General features: G+C 51.0%; 1 long non-coding RNA gene across 3 annotated transcripts in view, besides 3 other annotated features; it reads left to right on the forward strand.

Moving 5' to 3' along the window:
• The window catches only part of LOC105373177 (uncharacterized), a 34303-nt gene extending 27508 nt beyond the window's left edge, over positions 1 to 6795 (forward strand). For 2 of the 3 annotated variants that reach the window (XR_949024.3, XR_949025.1), the window contains exon 2: positions 6238 to 6795. This is a non-coding gene — a long non-coding RNA (uncharacterized LOC105373177). The remainder of the gene's footprint in view (positions 1 to 6237) is intronic. The other variant, XR_001755829.2, reaches the window with a different exon arrangement.
• Positions 13018 to 13077: an enhancer, noted in NCBI's record as "active region_29528". NCBI's record gives its function as "activates an Ori minimal core promoter by ATAC-STARR-seq in GM12878 lymphoblastoid cells {active_cell/tissue: GM12878}" and the evidence as "EXISTENCE:reporter gene assay evidence [ECO:0000049][PMID:35858748]".
• Positions 15043 to 15958: an enhancer, noted in NCBI's record as "OCT4-NANOG-H3K27ac-H3K4me1 hESC enhancer chrX:39675935-39676850 (GRCh37/hg19 assembly coordinates)". NCBI's record gives its function as "activates a minimal SCP1, AML or CMV promoter by ChIP-STARR-seq in naive and primed H9 embryonic stem cells {active_cell/tissue: H9 hESC(naive and primed)}" and the evidence as "EXISTENCE:reporter gene assay evidence [ECO:0000049][PMID:30033119]".
• Positions 15959 to 16876: an enhancer, noted in NCBI's record as "NANOG-H3K27ac-H3K4me1 hESC enhancer chrX:39676851-39677768 (GRCh37/hg19 assembly coordinates)". NCBI's record gives its function as "activates a minimal SCP1, AML or CMV promoter by ChIP-STARR-seq in naive and primed H9 embryonic stem cells {active_cell/tissue: H9 hESC(naive and primed)}" and the evidence as "EXISTENCE:reporter gene assay evidence [ECO:0000049][PMID:30033119]".

The following is a 21959-nucleotide window of genomic DNA, read 5'->3' on the forward strand; positions in this document are numbered from 1 at the left end:
ATGTGACTGGACAAAAGGGTATGATCTCATGGTAATAGACTGAGGAGGAATCCCAGCAAGCCCTGTCCAGATTCTTGGCCCGTCTGTATAGCATTCCTTCCTTTCAGGTATGAGGCAGGACCCCTCTGAAATGAGGGTCTTCAAGACAGAAGGGAAAAGGGAGAGAGTGACCTTTCTAGATTGTATGGCTTGCTTTGGGAGAGAAGGCTTCTAGTTTCCATGATTCGCCTTTGGGAAGAGGAATTTTGGTTTCTATGACTTCCTTTGTAGGGGAAAAAGAAGTCAGAGACAGGAGAGTAGGAGAGGTTCAGAGAGACTTTGCGTCTGAGGCCCTCCAATCTCCTTTGGTTTAAAGCACTCAGCATGCCAAAGTGCCATACTTTGGGGTATTGTGTTCCGAGCCCAATAGGGTCGTAATTGTTTTTGCCCTGTGGCCCCTTTGGAGCCTTCTCAGAATAATACTTTAAGTGCATACAATAAAATACCATGGAATTGCAAAGCAAACCAATTATATTGAAATAAGCATGAAAATATTTGGTGATGTAGTCATATACGTACTTATTTAATGAATTAAATAACTAGGTAAAATAACTGCTGTAATTTCAAAACAATGATGAGTGTAATTGGTATTTGAGATACCTGCAGTAACTGTAACATAATATGGAAATATCTGTGATTTCTGTTGGCGACAAAGTCACAGCTCCTGCCAATATCACTGTGGTTTGTTTCCTACGTCTATTAAAGGATTTCAGTGAGAGGTTAGCGAAAATGAAGATGTAATTTTTCTTCCCATCCAAGTTCACGGACCTCCTGCCGTCTATCAATTTAGTAATCCTGCCTTCCAGGAAGCAGCCAGAGGTCGTGGAAGGAGACGGGGCAGCTGGGCTGAGTTCGGCTGCTTTTTGGGGCTGGCTCTAGCAGGAGCTCACTGGGTGGCCTTCCAGAGCTCACTTCCTCTCTCTGGCTTTGGTCTCCTCCTCTGTAAAAGGAGGTCCGAATTAAGCACTCTTCACAGTACCCGGCTGTGCACTTGTCCCCAGAAGTTTCTCTACCGGCTCCAGGGCTGTCTTCAGCCAATCAACAAATGTTTCATGTGGTTCACCCTGTGCGGGGAACCTGGAACCCCCTGACGGGAATCCCTGTGCTTCCCAAATGCAGAGGGGCCTCCCTTCCCGAATGTGAAGGCCAGCAAAAACCCCAAGAGAAACTACTAGGAATATCTTCTATCTCTCAACTCCCTTCATTCTGGAGCCAGGGCATTTGCACTTTGAAATTCTTTTTCATTGATTCTGTACCCAATGGAACCCGGGTTAAGTAAGAGGAGGGAGTATATAATCCAAGTTGAGTCAAGGCAGTAAACACTGGAGAAGATAAATAACAATGCAAGGGGCAGAGAATGGGCCCTGGAAGGAGTGATTAATTACCAAACAGCCGGTTCCAAAAACAAGCGGGCTGCGGCAAGAGGGAGAGATCCGAGGAGTCAGGCCCCGTGTCCAGAAGACTTTTTGCAAATGAAAGCGCTGGTGACAAGCTCTGAAAGCCGGCAAGGCATGAACTGGCCAAGGGGAGGGTACCAGATGGCAAAGGTCAGTAGATCAGGTTCCAGGGCACATCTCTCAACCAGCACCACCGCAGGCCTCAGACCTGGCTGCACAACGGAATCACCAGGTGGTTGTTGTTGTTGCTGTTGTTGTTGTTGTTTTCAAACAGAGTTTCACTCTGTCGCCCAGGCTGGAGTGCAGTGGCTCGATCTGGGCTCACTGCAACCTCCACCTCCCGGGTTCAAGTGATTCTCTCGCCTCAGCCTCCTGAGTAGCTGGGATTACAGGCGCCCGCCACCAAACCTAGCTAATTTTTGTATTTTTAGTAGAGACGGGTTTCACCATATTGGCCAGGATGGTCTCGAACTCCTGACCTCAAGTCATCCACCCGCCTCAGCCTCCCAAAGTGCTGGGATTTAAGGCGTGAGCCACCATGCCTGTCCTGTTGTTGTGGTTTTTGAAGCTAGCAATGCCTGGGTTCCATCCTCAGAGATTTGGATTCAATTTAAGTGAGTGGGAGCCCAGGTATGAAGGATTTTTTAAAAGCTCCCAGAGGATTCTAAAGCTGAGCTAGGACTACAGACCACTGCAGGCGGTAAAGTCCCCAAAGCAGCCAGCCGGGAAAACAACTTTTCTTTTCCACCCTGCAGGCTGTGGGCAGGGCACTCCCTGGGCAAGGTGGCTCTCAAAGGCAGAAACCTGCAGGGGAGCCCTGGGGTCAAAAGGGGGAGGGCTATGGGAGATGAGAAGCTGGATCTGTGGACTCTCTGAAGTAAGAATGCCCTTCCCCGCCCTCGCTGGCGTTGGCCAGTGTAGACACCTGCTGCTGCGTCTTTTTCCCTTTCACTCCACAAAAACATATATAAAACATCTGCGAGGGCCAGAGCGTCTGGTCCCAGGGCTGTGGCAGATATAAAAGGGTCTGCATAGTCTAGCCTCACCTGCCAGTATGCAGGAGCAAAATGCCACAAAGGCATTACTCCACCCCTCGGTTGCGCCGCTGGTCAAAGGTTCCCATACTTGAAATCCCAGAGAGGCCCCCCAGGTGCCCAACCTTGAGCCCTCCAGCCACGCACTGGTGATTGGGGGAGGCCTCCTGAGACCTCTGTTTATGGAGTACCCAGAGCCTTCAGGGTGGCAAGGCCTTGGTCAGAGACAGCGTGAGTTTCAGGGCTGGGGCATGTGAGGAGAATCATTGCTTTTCCTGCTCTGTCTCCACTTTATTATCAAGTTGCGATTCCAGCATTTGCCCCAAGCCCCACGCATTCACGTTTTCAACAAATATTGAGGTTCCACTGAGTGCCGGGCACTGAACTAAAAGCATGACAAGAAACAAAATGACTTTTGGCAGGGCACAGTGGTTCATGCCTGTAATACCAGCACTTTGGGAGGCTGAGGCAGGCGGATCACTTGAGGTCAGGAGTTCTAGACCAGCCTGGCCAACATGGTGAGACCCAGTCTCTACTAAAAATACAAAAATTAGCTGGGCGTGGTGGCATGCGCCTGTAGTCCCAGCTACTCAGGAGGCTGAGGCAGGAGAATCACTTGAACCCAGGAGATGGGAGGTTGCAGTGAGCCGAGATCACGCCACGGCACTCCAGCCTGGGTGAAAGGGCAAATCAAAAAAAAAAAAAAAGAAGAAGAAAAGAAAGAAACAAACAAACAAAATAGATTTAAAAATCCCTGCCCTCATGGCAGCTGCCATTCTGGTGGGAGACAAAAAGCCAGAAGCAAGATAACCAAGTAAACTATATAGCATGTCAGATGTTAACGAGTGCCAAGGTGTACAAGTAAACAGGAGTGGAGGATAGGGAGTATATAGTTGGGGAAAGGCAGAGTAAAGGAAGTCCTCCCCAGAAGCTGACATCTGCATAAAGACCTGAAGGGAGGAACTGAAGGCATTACCTGGGGGGAGGAGCTTTCCAGGCAGAGGGAGGAGCATTCCAGGCAGAGGAGGAACAAGTGCAAAGGCCCTGAGGCAGGAGCAGGCAGAGGCAGGCCTGCCATGTTCCAGGCAGTGTGGCTGGAGGGGAGGGAGCAAGGAGGAGGGAATAGAGGGTGAAGTCAGACAGGCGATGGGAACTAGGTCGTGTAGGCCTTACAGGACACTGTGTTTCAGTCAGTGCTGCTTTTACTCTGAATGAGCTGGGAAATTTCAAGGGTTTTGAGCTGAGGAATGATGACATGACAGGGGCACAGTGGCTTCACTGAAACTCAAATTCAGGGGGCAGAAGTGAAGCAGAGAGGCCAGAGAGAAGTCATTAGCAGAGAAAGCTGGTGGCAGGTACCCATGAAAAAAGCCTGGGAGTGGGATTTTTGGTTTTGCTTTGTTTCGTTTTGTACAAAAATAGTGACAGGGTCTCACTATGTTGCCGAGTCTGGTCTGAAACTCCTGGGCTCGAGGGATCCTCTTGTCTCAGCCTCCCAAAGTGCTAGGATTACAGGCGTGAGCCAACAACCCCGGCCTAGGAGTGTTTTGACGGTAAGACCAACAGGCATTACTAACAACTAGATGTCGATTATGAAAGAGGGGAGAGGCCAGGCGCAGTGGTTCATGCCTGTAATCCCAGCATTTTGGGAGGCCGAGGTGGGCAGATCGCTTGATCTCAGGAGTTCAATACCAGCCTGGGCAACATGGTGAAACCTCAGGATATGGTTTGGCTGTGTCCCCACCTAAATCTCATCTTGAGCTGTAGTTCCTATAATCCCCACATGTTGTGGGAGGGACCAGGTAGAGATCACTGAATCGTGGGGGCAGTTACCTCCATGCTGTTCTCCTGATAGAGAGTTAGTTCTCACAAGATCTGATGGTTTTATAAAGGGCTTCCCCCTTCGCTGGGCACTTATTCTCTCCCCTGCGACTCTGTGAAGAGGTGCTTTCCGCCATGATTGTAAGTTTCCTGAGGCCTCCCCAGCCACACAGAACTGTGAGTCAATTAAACCTCTTTCCTTTGTCAATTACCCAGTCTCAGGTATTTCTTCAGAGCAGTGTGAGAACGGACTAATACACTCTGTCTCCACCAAAAAATACAAAATTTAGCTGGGCGTGGTGGCGCACTCCTGTAGTCCCAGCTACTTGGGGGGCTGAGGAGGGAGGATCACTTGAGCCCAGGAGGTTGAGACTGCAGTGATCCATGAAAGTGCCACTGCACTCCAGCCTGGGTGACAGTGCAAGACCCTGTCTCAAAAAAAAGAAGAAGAAAAGAAAAAGAAAGAGGAGAGAGTGATGGGGGATTTTGAGGGCAAGGGTTTGGGCCTTCAAATCAGGAGGAAGAAGTAGCTGCATGCTGAGATGGAGAGGGGGCTATGGATTGGAGAGGTGCTACAAGGAGGGAGACGGTGGGAAACATTTGAGGAACTTCTCCAGCATTTGGTATGGGAGATGTGAAGGAAGTTGAACAGGTAGTTGGGCAGTTTTACATGTACTGTTTCTGAGCCTCCAACCCTAAATGCTACCCCCCTATCCTGCGTGGGGCAACAGCCGGCCCATGCCACTCCATCCTCTGGAGCCTTTATCCTCTCCCTCCACCAAAGAGAAACAAAGTCACCAAGCTTGCCAGCTCCTGGAAATGCTGGAGACCTTTGTCACCTGAGGTCAACCCACATGGGGAAAGCCCACTTACAGTGAACCAATTGAAATAGAGACCAAGGTTTCCAAGTAAATACAGGGGAAAAAATTGAACTGGGACTTAATCTCAAAAATGACACTTGAATCATAAAAATAAGTTATTTTTGGTTTCATTTATATATGGAATCTAAAAAAGTCGAACTCATAGAAACAGAGTGGGCCAGACACAATGGCTCACGCCTATAATCCCAGCACTCTGGGTGGCCAGGATGGGCAGATCACCTGAGGTCAAAAGTTCGAGACCTGCCTGGGCAACATGGTGAAACCCCATCTCTCCCATCTCTACTAAAAAAAAGAAAAAAAAAAAAAAAAAAAAAATTAGCTGGGCCTGGTGGTGGGTGCCTGTAATCCTAGCTACTTGGGAGGCTGAGGCAAGAGAATTGCTTGAACCCAGGAGGCAGAGGTTGCAGTGAGCCAAGATGGCACCACTGCACTCCAGCCTCAGCAACAGAGCAAGACTCCATCTCAAAAAGAAACAGAGTAGAATGGTGGCTGCCAAGGGCTGGGACACGGAGTAAATGGGATGTTGGTCAAAGGGTACAGTTTCAGTTATGAAGGATGAATAAGTTCTGGAGATCTAATATACAGAATGATGACTGTAGTTAATAATACTGTATTGTATACATTTGCTAAGAGAATAAATATCAAGTGTTCTTACCACACACAAAATGGTAACTATGTGAGGTGATGGATATGTCAATTAGCTTGATTGTCCTAATTATTTCACAATGTATACATACATCAAACATTGTATAGCTCAAATATATACAATTTTTCTGTTGAACCATACTTCAATGAAGCTGGGGAAAAAATAAGTCATTTCATATTTAAGAAAATGGAGTTTCTAAGTGCAACTGTGCACCACTCTTAGCAGTAACAAAGTGCTGACAAGTTTGGTTGGGAGTTCAAAGCTTTTCTTTTCCCCGACCAAATCATCTAGAGACACAACAGCCTCCAATTCACCCTTGACTTTCACACACCATCATAAACAGGGTCATTTTGGCAAAAAGGTTCAAGGCCTTCATCAGCTATCCCAAGGGTCTCTCTTGATTCTTTGTTCTTCAAAAGGTCCACTTTTGGAAACTCCCATCATGCCTCCTGCCTATGGATCATCTCTTTGGCTGAGAACCGAGCTAACTCACTCAAGATCCCAATTAGTGACTCCTCATGAGATGGAAGTAATTCTCCGGCATCGTCCTCATTTGATTTCAGAAAATCCAGCAGTTCTGGACTTCACAGTTGCACCACACGGTATTGGGCTGTGGTCTGCTTCCTGGCAACCAAAGGGCAGGACATAGGTAGCTGATAAGGAAGGAGTGAAGGATGTCTGCGTGGGGGCAAATTTCATGCAAAATTCATTACTGAATATTTCTGTAATATGACAATTTCTGCTTTCCTAGCCAACCATACAACTGCAGAGATCCACAGAGCTACCGTTTGAGGAATAAGGAACCCTGTACATAGCCAGGGGCATTCTAAAATCCCCAAACTTGAATCCTACTTCCGACTTTGCTAGGACACCGCAGGAATTACCATCAAAGAAGGAAAAAGATGCACAGAAGTTTCCCATTCGACAGCTACGATTCTACAACCCCATAGTCTTTCTAAACCACAGGCTGCATTTTCCATTTTGTTTTGCTGTGTTTTCCTTCATGCGCCTAACTCCGGAGGCAGAGTTCTGCCCCTACAAAGCCACATTCATGTCATCATTCCAAAACTCACAACTCCTGAAAACTTTGAGGAATGTTATTAGGCCCTGTAGGCCAGAAGGGCCGTTTCCAGGGTAACAGCAACTCCACACTAAGGAAGAAAGGCATTTCCCTTCCTATGCTCCTCTCAGAGTTCAGGCCACTACAGAGAAACCCATGCCCTGAGCCTGAGGGACACTTCCTGTGGCCCTTATGCAACCAGCCCAGCACCCACCCCAAGGACACACAGCCAGCCCCTGCGCACTGGAAGGCCACACTTCCTGCCCCCGATATCTCATGTTGATCTCCTGCCATAAATCTACCCATGCCTGTCCGTCAGCACGTCCCAATCTGTGGTCTGGAAAAGTCAGCATAGATGTGAGAAGAACTCCTGCACAGGCATTTGTTTTTCCAGCCGCCTGGCTTTTGTTTTGAGCAAGGTGGAAATGAAAACTGTCTCTAAGGGAGAGAACGCTCCCTCCAGGTGCTTGAGTGACTCCAGGCCCAGAGAGCTTAACCGTGCCCCTTTCACCTTGGCCTGGGTCCTTCTTGACTGAATAAGACACATTTCCGCCATCTAATAAGGAAACTTGGAAATGAGGAAGGAGGCCCGCAGGGGATATCTGGGATGCCCTGTCCATGTAAGTCTTTCTCCCCAGTGTTCGTCGGCTTTCCTGATTGCCTAATCCAGACAGGCTCTGGCAGGGACCCCTGAAGGCGAACCACATTGAGCTGGGTGAGAGATTCCCCCTGTGAAACTCAAGACATATCGAGTTCAAGAACAGGGCTCAAAAGCTTGTGGGGCTAAGGCAGGTCATGGCCACAGGGTCTCTCTACCAGATCCCCCTCCCCCATCTCTGTGCGCCCCACCACTCCTGCACCCATCCACATACAACTAAGCCTTGCATTTACTTGCAAGTTTCTTGAGACATGGCTGAAAAAAAAAAAAAAAAAAGCTGTTTTTGCCAATGACACTGATCTTCCCTGATTCATAATGGAGTCAGACCTTCGAATTCCTCCTGGGGACAGAAGGAGAAGTGACTAACAGGAAGCCCTTGGGATTGTGAGACTTACCCTTGAGAATGGAAGAGCACAGTGGAGAAAAAAATGAACACATGTAACAAAATCAGCGGCAAGTGCAAGGCTGGGCAGTGCTATTGAAGCTCAGTAGCAATTCAGGGAAGGGAACTACCAGGGCAGGCTGACTTGCGGCAGACAGGGTGTTCTTGGGGGTGGTGCAAGGTGGGGAAGTGCTGAGGCTAAAGGTAAGTCTTTTTTTTTTTTAAGAGTCAGGGTCTCATTCTATTAATATCACCCAGGCTGGACTGCAGTGGCACGATCATAGCTCACTGCAGCCTCAAACTCCTGGGCTCAAGAAATCCTTCTGCCACAGCCTCCCTAGTAGCTGGGACTACAGGCACATAGTACCATGCCCAGCTAATTTTTAAAATTTCTTGTAGAGACTGGGTCTCACCATGTTATCTACCCAGGCTGGTCTCCTGGCCTCAAGCAATCTTCCCGCCTTAGCCTCCCAAGTCCCTGGGATTACAGCCATGAGCCACCGTGCCTGGCTAAAGCTAAGTCTTACAGATTTCCATAGGAAAGGACCAGGCAGGGGGTGGCAGGGCTAAAGCACAGAAGTGGGAATGGCCCTGGCATATGCAGGCAGAGAGAACAATCCACAGAAAAACAGGTTTTGCTTATATTTCATTTAGAGGATTTTCTAATACAGATTCAAGTCATTCAACATTTACTGGTACCTACTATGAGGTACCTGCTATGGGCCAGGCACCATTTTGGGACCTACAGGGGATCTGGGGCTAGTCCAGCAGGACGAAGGACCAGAACAAACAAAGTGACATGTCTGCGTTTGGGTTCCTCAGTAGCCGACCCTGAGATAAGGGTCTAAGTACAAGTAGTATATCTGGAAGGAGGCAGGGAAGGGAAGGTAGCCAATGAGCAGGTTACTGCTGTGGGCAACTGGGGCACAGTCCCACTGGGGATCTGAGAGCTGGCACAGAACAATTACTTGGGAATATTCCATCCATGGAGTGAGGGAGCTGGGGTATTTATCCACCAGCTCCCATCAGTCATTGGTTGAGGGCTGCTCCCAGGGAGCATTAACCCCCTGGCACCTTCTGCTTGACAGAGAAGGCTCAAGTGGTCAGAAACAGGCTCCAGGCACAGGGATACAGGTGCTGGCAGCTGTGTGCACAGAAATGGTAAGCACAAGGTGACATGGGTGAGGCATCAATAGTGTCTACTGCACATGTGACTGAAAGGGGACAAAGAGGATATGGACCTGTGGCCTCCATAAAGACACCAGGACAAAGTTTCCAAAACACTCATCGGAAGATCCTTGGGGTTCAAAATGCTGAGAGCCGGGGCTGGGGAAGTAGTACATCATTTCAAATAAAAGGAACATTGTGAACAAAGACAGCTGAGCAAGGATCATGTCTGGGAGCTGAAAAGTGTGATTTGGCTAAAGTATAGTGACAAGGAAGGTCAGAGGTAGGGACCTGAGCCACACTGTGGAGAACTCGAATGCCAGGCAACAGCTTTAATCTTCATTCCACAGGCAATGAGGAGCCATTGAAGGTGGTTGAGCAGGAGTGGCATGGAGAAGTGTTGTAGGAACACTAATCTAGCCAAAAAGCAAGAGGATAACTTGGAGGTAGGGAGACTAGGTTAAAAAAAAAAATTCCCCAAATGAATGTTAGCCACAGTGGAGATTATTTCGGAAGGGAGAGAAATGAAGGGGGCTCCCTGCAGCTCTGGCCCCAAGAGAAAGGCCCCTGAAAAGAATTGCGTGGGAGCTGCTAAAAGGGGGACCAGCTCCTCGCCTGCATGGCCTGATTGTTCCTTCTGGCAAAGATGTGGGCCCACTCATTTCTCTCCTATTTTCTTTCCTCCAAAAATGCTTTTGGCCTCTGGTTTCCGAAAGCTTTGCTCAGTGAGTTTAAACAGCATCTCACAGCATGGCCGAGCAATAACAAATGGCGCCTGGTGGCTCGCCTGCTGGTGGCTTAAAAAACAATTGATGACTTTTAATCAGCTGAATGAGCATGGGACAAATGACAGCATGGCCTGAATGCAGCCCAGACGTCATCGGCTGACATCAGTGGGGAGGAGGGAGGTGCCCTTCTGGTGAGCTTGGGAACAAACAGGAGCAGAGGCTGGCGCTTGAGGCTCCAGGAGGCAGCTCTGCTCTCACCCCAAAGCGGTTGCCTTCTTCTCTCCCTTCTGGGGAGACCAGGTGAGCCAAGGGCTGGGGCACTGGAAGACCGGGGTTCAGGGTCTCCAGATGTCACTTGGTAACTGTAGGCATCAGTTCCCCTCCAGACCTCAGTTTCCCCCTCTGATAAATGGAGGAGATGAAGGCAAGTTTGTGTCTTCTGTTAAGCCGCCCCATATGTGGGATAGCTTTAGACTGAATCTCTAAAGGACTCAAGTGAAGGTCTGTTTATATATCCTGCTCCTATCAAAACTATCAAAACCATCAACACTCCCCACTGCACGGCCACTTTCCCCCACCTCCCCCTACCCACACACCAAATGGATACTCACCAAGCATTCCTTTTTTTTTTTTTTTTTTTTTTTGAGACGGACTCTTGCTCTGTTGCCCAGGCTGGAGTGCAGCAGCGTGATCTCACTGCAACCTCCGCCTCCCGGGTTCAAGCTATTCTCCTGCCTTGTAATCCTAGCTGGGATTACAGGTGCGTGCCACCACACCCAGCTAATTTTTGTATTTTTCATAGAGATGGGGTTTTGCCATGTTGGCCAGGTTGGTCTCCAACTCCTAAGCTCAAGTGATCCACCTGCCTCAGCCCCCCAAAGTCCTGGGATTACAGGTGTGAGCCACTGCACCCGGCCTCACCAAGCATCTCTGATAAAGGAGTGCAAATTTGAGCAAAGGAAGCAAAAATGGCAGGAATGAAAATAAAGGTATTTGTTGAGTGCTTACTACATGCCTGGCCCCGTGCTATGTGTTTATAGGCATTATCTCATTATCCCCATCTCACATGAGGTGAGGTGGGGAGGAAACAGGCTCGGAAGGGTAAAGGAATCTGCCCATAGTTCTACCACCAGTAAGTGAGGGACACGAACACATGCCTACCTGCTTCCAAAGCGCTTGCCCTTCCTCACTTTTCCAGCCCAAACTGGGACACAGGAGCAACTTAAGAAAGTAGGCTGGGGGAAAACTTGACCTGATGCAGGAACATATAAATTATATTAAGAAATGCCACAGGTCACACCTCAGTCACAATCACAGGAACGCAAGACCTTTATGCCATGAATCTTCCCTGACCACCAAAATTTAGGAATTAAGAATCTGCTTCTTAGGATTTTTTTTTTTAATCCTGTGCTTGGTCCACAGGAATGGACACTCCCTCCTGGCCAGCTTGCCCACCCTCCAGGCCACAGTTTGCACACTGTTTGTCTCCCCGAGAAGAGCTACCCCTCCCTCCCTGGCTTATGCTGGGCTTTGTGCGAGATGGACCCTGAGATGGTGACTGGTGTATAGGATCCTGATTGGAGGCTGCTGTCAGGAACAATGCCTGTGAGGGAGAAAGGGCTGCAGGATGGGGCAGAGGGAGAAGCTGAACTACAGTGCAGTTGCAACAGAGGCCTCAGTCAACTCCAAGGCAAGTTCTGGGGCTGGGATGGCCCTTCAGAGATGTCCTAAATTGAGGCAAAGGGGTAAGTCCTTGCATAGTCTCCCCCGCCTATAAACCAGTCATTGAATGAGTTGCCCTCCCGGAAGGTGGCAGGGCGCTCCCTTGGACAAGGCAGCTCAGCCAGCTCCTATCAGCTAAGGACAATTCCAAGTGGGCAGCGGTCCCCACCCAAACCTTTGAAGGGGGTAGTTATATGGTGTGCTCCTGAATCCACCATCCCATCCAACAAAACTCCTGCTCATCCTTCAGTTGGCAGCTCAAGCTTGACCCATTCTTTCTGAACTCCTAGCCACTCCCTGAGCCCCTAGACTCGCCACTATTTCCATCCGCAATGATGGCCCTGCTTCAGAAATGTCAGATAACTCCTTACCCTCCATCTCTAGACAGTGAGAAATGGAGATCACCTTTACCACCTGTTCCTGGCACAAAGAAGCCTCCCCTAGGTGCTGAGTAGATGGATGTTGCATGGGAGGTGCCAGCAGGCCCACGGGAATGTTCCAGCTTCCACAATTTCCTCTCTATCAGTGACTCAAAGTGTCTACGTTGTTTCTGCCGATGACATACAAGCACAGAGAAAGCTTGCTCCCACAGCCAACCTGGCAACCTCTCTTGGGCTCAGGCCAAGAAAGTCCTGTCCTTGTTCCCTTCCCTGTCCAGTGTTCTGCTGTAAGTCCACTTCCTAGCTAAGAGGGCCAAGCACATTTAGAAGCCTCCGTGCCAGGGAAAGCCCAATGCCATTGCCAACTGCACTACATCGCCGTTCTTCTGAAGGAAATTACTATTGATCCCACAGCTCTCCTCCCCATGCTGTTTGCCGGGGACAGCCAAGGATTCCCGTGCCAGCTGGGCTCCCACACGGCTCGACTGTTCCTGCACCAGATGGCCAGACCAACACCCTCTGGCTGCCGCACGCTCCCTGGGAGACGAGGCTCTGACGTCTATCAGCCTGGCTTTTTGTGCACAGGGACGCCGGGGTCAGGGATTACAGGGCCAATCACATTACACTAAAAATCTCTGCACAGCGTAAAGATTTCCAAATCCCAGTGGTTATCAGTGTAACCAACAAGGCAGGGAAACTGTTTCTATAGCCTTAACTTTCACTGCTCTTTTCACAAATATCAGTTGAATGCCTCCGTGGTCTGAGGGATGCAATGGTAAACAAGACAGTCCCTACCCTCAAGCTAGTTATAGTCTACTGGGGTATAGGTTAGGTAACCATATCATTTATTGTTCAAACTAGGACACTTTTGAGAAAGTAAAAGGGGTGTTTTTATCGTTAAACCAGGGTAGTAGGCATAAATAAGGAGGTGTTCCAGGCAAACCAGGATGTTTGGGCACCCCAGATAGAGACACAGCATGACCAAAATGGGGGGGAGTTCAGGTCATGGGGGCATAGTACTGTTAGGTGGCGCCACAAGATGGCGCAATTGAAATACTCGTAGCTTTTCTTTGTTTTTGTTTTCTCTCTTGAAAACTAATTTTTCTTTCCATTGCCACAGAGCCAGTAGAACCCTTCCATGGTGTGCTGGAGCCAAAGGGTACTGGTTTGTGAGATCAGATCATCAAATTTTCAGGAATTTTTGCCAATTGGTTACTAAGCATAGCCATTAATAAAAATTAAAAGAAGTAAAATAAAAAATAGAATTATAATTAAAATAATTAAAATTTAAAATGGAGTAAGTCATATTAAAAACAAAGGTAATAAATACTGAAAACTCACACCTTCCTGACTGCTTTGCTACAGTTTACTATTATTTACTCTCATGAGGTTATTTACCCTTTCATGACTGTGTGGTAGAAATACTATGTAAAAGGCAGGGCATGGTGGCTCACACCTGTAATCACAGCACTTTGGAAAGCTGAGGCAGGTGGATCACGAGGTCAGGAGTTCGAGACCAGCCTGGCCAACATAATGAAACCCCCTCTCTACTAAAAATACAAAAATTAGCCAGGTGTGGTGGCGGGCACCTGTAGTCCCAGCTACTCTGGAGGCTGAGGCAGGCGAATCGCTTGAACCCGGGAGGCGGAGGTTGTAGTGAGCTGAGACCACACCATTGCACTCCAGCCTGGGTGAGAGGGTGAGACTCTGTGTCAAAAAAAAAAAGAAAAAAGAAAGAAATACTATGTAATGCTGTGTCCGTGTCTTTTCAACTCCATGGTCAGCACCATCACGTGGGCAGCTTGAGACTGGCTGTGGTGGGAGTATTTGCATCATGGAAATCAGCAGATACTACAAGTCAGGGCTTGGGGGGCAGGGAGCCAGTTGTTAAACATTTACTAGCACATCACCAGAATCATCATTTAAGTTCAATAATTTATGTGGCTGATTTCATGTACTCTGGGCAGTTCTATCACATTCCCCAAAATTATAATGTCCGCTCTCACCCAAAACAACACAGAAAGTTGGGGGAGGAAGGGGTTATGTTCTTCCCATAACCTAATCTGAACACTGAGGAAGGAGGAGCCCACACAGTTTAGTGCTAAGTGCCACAGTGCAGATAGGTGAATCAGGGAGTCCACCGCCAGGGTCTAGACTGCTGTGGAAAGCTTACCCCCAGGGACAGATGCCTAACATTTGCATATTCAAATTGACCAGTGGGGAACTCAGGATATCTTGTCTGTGATTGGTGGGATGACTTAGGGACTGCCCATGGGTACCACTTGTGCTGTGAGTCAGGGCCCCAGTAGCAATGGATGGCAGACTCAGCAAGAGGGTTAACTGACAAGAGTTTGTAAAGGGACTATTTACAGAGTTGTGGGCAGATTACAGAAACCACAAGGGATAGGGAAGTACCCTGGGACTAGCAACAATGGGAAGCTGCCACCACTCCCTGGACTGAGGGAGCCAGGAGTGGGGGCTGTTAGCAGAACCTGGAAAGAGCTGTAGGTGAGGGCTGCTATGGGACGAGGAACGCAGCCACCACCAAAAGGGCAGCCCAGCTGTGGAAATAAATACCCAACCTCTGACTCCTCCTACCTGCCTCCCATTGGCCAAGCCAACCAGAAGCCAGTGGTCAAGGCAGCCCAAGGGATCCAGTCCCCAAGGATCAAGGATCAGCCTCCTGGGCACAGAAAGTGGATGGGGTGAGGGGAGGGCAAATAGATCTGCCCGGCCAATATGGTGCTGCCCCTACCAGTCTGCTGGCTTGAAGAGGATGTGCCAGAGACCACTCACCTGCATGGCTGGCCCAGTAGAACAAACCACAGGCTGGCTGTGGGCCTAGAGGCAGGCAGGCCAGCCGGAGCCTGGCAGAGATATACCAGAGTCAAAGGAGGGCCATCCAAGACCGTCCAGTTGACCTAAACGTGATGTGGAGAGGGATGTGTCTTAGCTACACCTATGTCCAGAATTAAGCCTCTGCACAGGTGTGGATTTTACCTCGAGGCTAATAAAGCTTAAAGTTCAGGGCCTTGACTCGCACAGTCCCCTTCCAAGGCCCTGGTAGGGTCCTAGCAGTTATCATTTGTACCTCTGCACTGTTTTTCTTCAAGAAGGCCCCAAAATTCACGTAACTTTTAGGCCCCCAAACTTGGATCTGACCCTGCAGCTGCATTAAGAAGAGATTGGGCTGCTATTCTGGTTTCTCCTTCCAGGGGGTAAGTTTATCCGCAGGGTACAGGAGGGCAGAAGGGACTGTACCTCCCCACAAGAGGGGTTTTGCCTCCGCTCTGCTTCTCTTGGAGGAGCATTTCCCAAGCTCCTCCTCCTCACCTCGTTCTGGGAGAGGGTTAATAGACGTGGGGGTAGGAGGCCTCTTGGGGCCAAATACTTCTGGAAAGATTGGCGGCCTCTCCACTGCCCCCCACCCACCAACCTCCGGAAGATTCACAATGTACATTAGCATAGTAAAGGCTCCAGATAAAGAAAACGTTTGGCTTTGTTTACTGTGGGGGTTGCCCATACTTCCTGGAGCTTAAGCTGAAAGCGAAAGGATGAGTAGGAGTCAGATAGTTGTAGGAGTCAGATAGTTTTAGGAGTCAGAGGGTTTTAGGCTTGAGGGTACAGCCCCAGCAAAAGCCTCGCAAAGCCCGGAGAACTGGAAGAAATTGCTGCTGGAAGGCAGAGTTTGAGGTGGTGGAGCCGGGAGGGATGGACTAGAGGAGCCCCCCAAGCAGGCCTTTCATCCTGAGGACACCGGGCGACAACGCGCTCAGAGCTCTGAATCAGAGCTTCCCTGAATCACAGGCAGAGCTCCCAGCTCTCTGAAGGCTTGGCATGCTGCTGTTTGCATCCTTCCATCTGTTAGCGATGTTTCAGGCTGGGCAGGCATTGTCCTCATAGAGTTTCTCCCCCATTGTCTCTGCCTCTGCTCACCCCAAAGCTGGCAGAACCACAGCGCCCAGTGGCCTCTGGCTGCAGAGGGCATGAGGACTTCAGGCTGGTTTCCCAGAAACAGGAGGGTTTGTAGATAACCCTGATACCCTATGACCAAAGGCACCGTTCCCAAAACCCCTGCCCATGGAGCTATAGCCTAGTGCTGCCAAGTAAAGTTTGGTTCTGGAAAAAACAATTAGCCTACAGGGGTAGCACTAGCTGTTTCTGAAGTTCTACAGCCCAGGCCACCACTGGGTGCTGGCCTCAGTCCCATGAACCTTCAGCCCTGCCAATGAGAAGAATTCACAGATTTATTGTCTTCTAGAAAGGTTGGGGGACACATTCCTCCATGCCACTCTCTGCTAGTTGAGGGCCTGTCCTTTTTCCCCAGGGAATAGTATCTCCCTGGCCAGAGAGCGAGCGGACCAGGCTTTGCTTTCCAGCCTCACATAACCACCCTCCCGATGCCAAATATGACACATTCTTCAAGCTAATGACCTCTGCCCCCACCTTAAAAATAACAGCCCTCCACTTCATCCATCTTTGGGCTGATGACTGCTTTTTCTCGAGCAGGCACGGACTCTAGCAGTTCCTTTGTTTTCCAGTGATGCTTTTTATCCTCCATCTGATTTCATGTCATCTGTGTCTGTGACTGAGCAGGGCTCCCCCGTCTCCTGGCTCGCCCCGCCCATGCACCTTTGGACGTGAGTCTGGAGAGCCTCTGATTCCATGTACAGATTTGCAGGGCTGGCATTTGCCTCTCACATTGGTGCTCAGAGTGGCCGTGTGAAAAGAGGGCGGTCTGGCCGTGGGACTGACTTCCCAGAGCAACAGGGCAAGCTGGTGAGTAAGAACCAGCCTTTTTGCTGGCAAGGGACCTGGGCAGAGATGGGCCCTAATATACCCAGGAGCAACTTGAAGAATAAATACAAGTCATGAGCAGCATTACTGCCAGAGTGTGACAGCTGGCCACCTAGCCCTAGATGGGTACAGGGGAGTGTGTAGAGCCTGGAACCTTCTGGAATGGGGTAAAGGAGTAGCTGAGGGCTCCTAGCTCCACCCTTGGCTCTTTACATGCTCCTGAACACACAAGGGTCCCGCCTAAAATACCGGAGGGCATGGGAGTCTACGTGTTAGTCCCTGTGGCAATTTGAGTCCTCCAGGTAGAGGACACCAAGAGAGAGTAAGTGTGAGAGATGTATTGGGGGAGATTTTTAAGAAGGATAAAGGGGGGGGGGGGACTTCAGACCGGGAGGCAGCTCTGACCCCTGCAGAAGGAGAGGGGAAGGAAGGAGGGGTGGGTAGGGAGAGCCTCAGCCGGCAGCGCAGCTCTGAGAAAGCCTCAGCCAGGCCGATGGGGAGCCCCAGAGCACAGACTGCCCATCAGAAACTTCCTGTGTCAGGCAGTAATGACCCAGCTCTAGTCCCCCTGCTATGCTCTGTCATCGGGCGGGAACAGCCTGGGGAGGGTGGCCTCAGCAAGAATGCTGCAGCAGATCCCGAAGGTGCCACAGCCAGAGGCTAGCAAACCATGACACTTCTTCCAGAAACTTTTCCGCTGAAGGGAGGTCTGGGCAGTGCCCTTGCATGGCTGCCACTGTCCTTTTGTGTGGGGGTAAGGGGGTATCAGTGAGGGGAACTCTGAACCCTGGTCTCATGACCTCAGTCAAGCTTTTCTCTGTTGTAGCTTCTTAGTGTGTGGATGAGGGGAATGAACTATACCACATCAGTCCCCATCTCTATGGGGATGCTTGACACCCTGGATTCTGGTTATTTCAGTCTTTGAGCTCCTAGAAGGTAGACATGGAATCAAAAAAGATACCGAAGGGCCTCCACCACCAGAGACAGACACATTGCAGTTGGAAAGGGTCCAGAGTCCTTTTCCACTTGCAAGTACAGAAGGGATGTGGGCCTGGCCCAAGACCACTGAGCTATCCAGTCATTGATTCCATTATTCCACAAAGATGTGGTAGCCACCTACTCCGTGCAGATGGCTACTGTGTGCCCAAGGGGGCCATGGGTCTCCTGAGGACCAGACGGGCTTCAGCAGGAAGACCTTGCTGCCCATCTCTCCCACCCAGCCTTGGTGATTCTCAAAACCGAGGGGCAATATTCCAGATCAACCCCACTTGGTCCTGAGGAAGAGAGAAATGGTCAGGGGCGGAGGGTGGGGGAGGTCTCAGGACAAATAATATAATCCCAGTGACTCCCCCGACACTTCCCCTGCACTATCACCTCACAAATACGTGCATTCACACGTGCACACACGCACAACCACACAGCCATCTTTGGCATCATTAATAATTTATCTTTGAAGAAGCCTGTACAGTTTACAAATATTAAAGCATTATCTCACTATTTTAATCACAACGACTGCTTTGGGGTATTCTCGTTCTTTCTGATAATGAAGCTAGGCTCCGAGATCAAACTTCAACAAGGTCAAAGGGATGGCAGGTGGTTCTTAACCTTTGGGACTGTCTCAGATCCCTTTAAGAACTCTCCCCTCGGAAAAATGCATCTACCCAGAATTTTGCCCACTCTTTCAGGGGTTTGCAGTCCCTACTTCAAGCCCTTGCAGGGCTCCGCCTCCCCACCCCAGTCCCGGTGCGGCTGAGTTGGACCCGGCGGCCGCAGGATAAAATCCAGAGAGGAGTCCGTGTGACGGCGCAGCAGGATTAAGAAATCTCCCAGACCAGGATGGGCACAGAAATGGTTAAGGGGGTGGAGGGTTTTGTTTTTCACCTCTGAGGACTCTGTTATGGGTCATTAAGAACACAAGACCGAACGAGCATTCCATTTGCTGGGCCTGCCTCTAGCGCACAGCTCTGCTTCCCGACAAGATAAGTTCTGTGCAGGAAGGAAATCCTGGGCCCAGGGAGGCAGATGGGAAATCACCCCAGATAAGGCGGCTGCTCCGAGTGCTGGAGTCACACAGGGCCTTTCTGCTGCAAGAATGGCACTGCCGAGAGTCTGCGTTTCTTGCCAGCTGAGGAGGAGGAGGCTCTTCGGAGGCGTCTCCTAACACATTGCTGTTCTAGGCAGCTCTGCAAGGGGAACCCCCCAACGGGGGTGCAGCACCGTGCCTCCAAGTGAAGGAGAGGCCCTCGGGTTCCCGGAGTCTGGAGAGGTGGCCTCCAGCGGTGCCCCGGCCGCCTCCGGCTAGGCCCGCACACAGTTTACCCCCACCCAGGCCTCCTGGCACCCCCGCCCCGCATCCACCACCCAGGTGGTACCTGTGCCCGCGCAGGTGAGGAAAAAGGCCTGTGGAAAACATCATTACTGATAAATAACAGTTCCTTTCAGGTTTAATGACACGTTGCATCCATCCTAAATCTCTCAAAAAAAAAAAAAAAGAAGAAGAAAAGAAAAAAAAGAAAGAAAAAGAAAAAAGCCCTCTCGAGGGACTGCGCCTCGCGCCTGTAAATAGGAACGACAGGCCGGGGCGCGCGCCGAGGCGGGCGCACGGCTTGGAGCGGGCGTATAAATTAACCGGGGGCCGCAGAGTGAATACATTGCACGCGGTATTTATTATGCGGCCGGACCTCCGAGGGGTTCTCCGGCTCCCGGACGTGGCAAATCTTGTCCGGAGCGCCGCTGGCCGCGCTGCCAAGGGCTAGGACGAGAGGACCCGTGGCGGGGGGCGGGGGGCTTCTCCTCCAGTCCTCGGGAGCCCCGGGGCAGCCCGCTTACAGCGGCGGCAGCGGGGAGGGTTTAGGCGAGGAGAGACGCGGCCCCGGGCGCCGCTCGGGCTAGGGGCCGGGCGGGGAGGGCGGGGCGGTGGGAGCGGGCGGCGCGCCCGGCCCCTTAGCATTCCGCCGGCGCGCCCGCCATCGCCGCGTGCGCCCCCGCGCCCCGCTGTAATTACCCCGATTACCAAATGAATCTCGCGCTTTTGTGCTCGCCGGGCGGTGGGTGCGGGGAGGCAGTTCTAATAGTTGTCATTAGGGCCGGGGGAGGCGGGGCGCCGGGGGCTGAGGGTGGGAGCGCGGGGGTGGGGGAGGCCCGCCATTCCCTCGCTGGCTCGCTTGTTCGCTGGCGGTCCCAGGCGGCGCGCAGGCCGCTGCTGGCTGCTGAGTAATGATTTTTTTTCTAATTGGAGGCGAACAGCGGCCCTAATGGATGGAGCCGCTCTCGGCGCGTTCGCTGCGCCCGCCCTTCGATCAATACGGCTCGCTGAGACCGCCGGGCCGCGCTCCCCGGCCCTTTGTGGTCAGAGATGCCTCGGGGGCCCCAATCCCCGCCACCACCACCGGCCCCCCATGCTGCCTCAGCCTCGCCCGGGGAGTTCCCAGCCCCGCCACTCCGAGACACCACCCCTCCTCCGGCCTACCCCCACCCCGGACACTCCAACCCCAGGCTCCTTCCCGCACCCCCGCGCCCGAGTTCCCCTCTCGGAACACTCTTACTCCAGCTCCCCCAACACTGCCCCCGCGTGTCCCCGCCGTCCCGAGCCCTCCATCCCTTCTTGTCCTCACACTATGCCCAGTAGCCTGGTCCCCGTGGCCTCTCAGACAGGGTGGGTTAGCAGGGAGGTGTACGGGAGGGCAGACCCGGGATTGCCACCCTCACCCCTTTTCCGTGACCGCGTTTCTGCCAAGCGCCCCAGGCCGGGAGGAGAGCCGGGCACAGGCGACAGCCTCCGAGAGTTTACGCCGGCTGGTCCGGGAAGGGTTCGCTGAGTCCAATTAAATCCCCACGTTCTTTCCTTCTTGAGCCCACTCCATCTCGGACTGGCTCCAACTGGGACCCTCCGGCTTTCTGAAGGTACAGAAACTTGCGAGCACAGACACACTCCCTGGGGGCACCAGTTTCCAAGAAGCCCTCTGGAATGTTTAGCTCAGAAACCGGACAGCATGCACAAGTCCTCCTAGGTCAGGGGTCAAATGTGCCCTCTGTTTTGCAGGCCCTTCGTGCACTGCTTCTAACTAGCTGGTGACCTTGGGCAACGACTCAGTGCCTGAGGGACTCTTTTTCTTACACCTTACAGAAGTTTATCCAGCTCTACAAGCTAGGCGGCTGGGATACAACATTAAAAGGAATGGTCAAACCTTCCCACTCCTTCCTGCAGTTTAGAGACTTTCCTCCTTCCACCCTGCGGAGAGCGGCTCCTGGGAGGCCCAAGCTGCTCCACCTACCCTCCTTCCTTCATCTGCTTACTTTCTGTTGCTGGCTGTGATTCCTGCATAACATTTAGCATCACCTAACATAATAAACACTTGCTTGGTTTTTTTGTTTGTTTTTTGAGACGGAGTTTTGCTCTTGTCGCTCAGGCTGCAGTGCAATGGCGCGATTTCAGCTCACTGCAACCTCCTTCTCCCAGATTCAAGCAATTCTCCTGCCTTGGCTGGGATTACAGGAGCGCCCCCCCACCGCCCCACCACCACCACGCCAGGCTAATTTTTGTATTTGTAGTAGAGATAGGGTTTCTCCATGTTGTCCAGGCTGGTCTCAAACTCCTGACCTCAGGTGATCCACCCACCTTGGCCTCCCAAAGTGCTGAGATTACAGGCGTGAGCCACCGCACCCAGCCAACACTTGCTTGTTTGTTTATTGTGATTCTTCCCCCACTACTATGTCATCTCCACAAGGACTGGGATTTTTATCCATTTTGTATCCTCAGCACCTAAAACAGAGCTTGGAACATAATAGGTATTCAGTAAATATTAGCTGCATGAACAAATTGAAACAATTTGAACCTGGTGAAACCTCTTCCTCTCCTGTCCTGAGAAAGGATAAGACTTTGGCTTTTCACTTCTTGGACTCTGTGGCATATTGTGTTTTCCAAATAATGGCCACAGCAATGTTTCTGGTCCCACATGCTATTCCAGCACCGTGCCTCTACCCCCTTCAAGAGAAGTCTCTTTCCCCTCCACTTGAACCTGGGTGGGTCTTTGTGACTGTCTCCACGAATAGAATGTAGCCACATACATCCTAGTCTAAGTCATAAATGATTACATGGCTTCCTTCTCTCTTTTTCTCTTGGGACTGTCACCCTTGCAACCCATCCACCATGTTGTAAGGGAGCCCAGACCACATGAAGAGGTCAAGTGTAGGTGTTCCAGCCAATAGCCCTAGCTAATGTCCTAGCCACCACCTAGCACCAGCCAC

Source organism: Homo sapiens, chromosome X, assembly GCF_000001405.40.
Source record: "Homo sapiens chromosome X, GRCh38.p14 Primary Assembly".
In the NCBI taxonomy this organism is placed as follows: domain Eukaryota; kingdom Metazoa; phylum Chordata; class Mammalia; order Primates; family Hominidae; genus Homo; species Homo sapiens.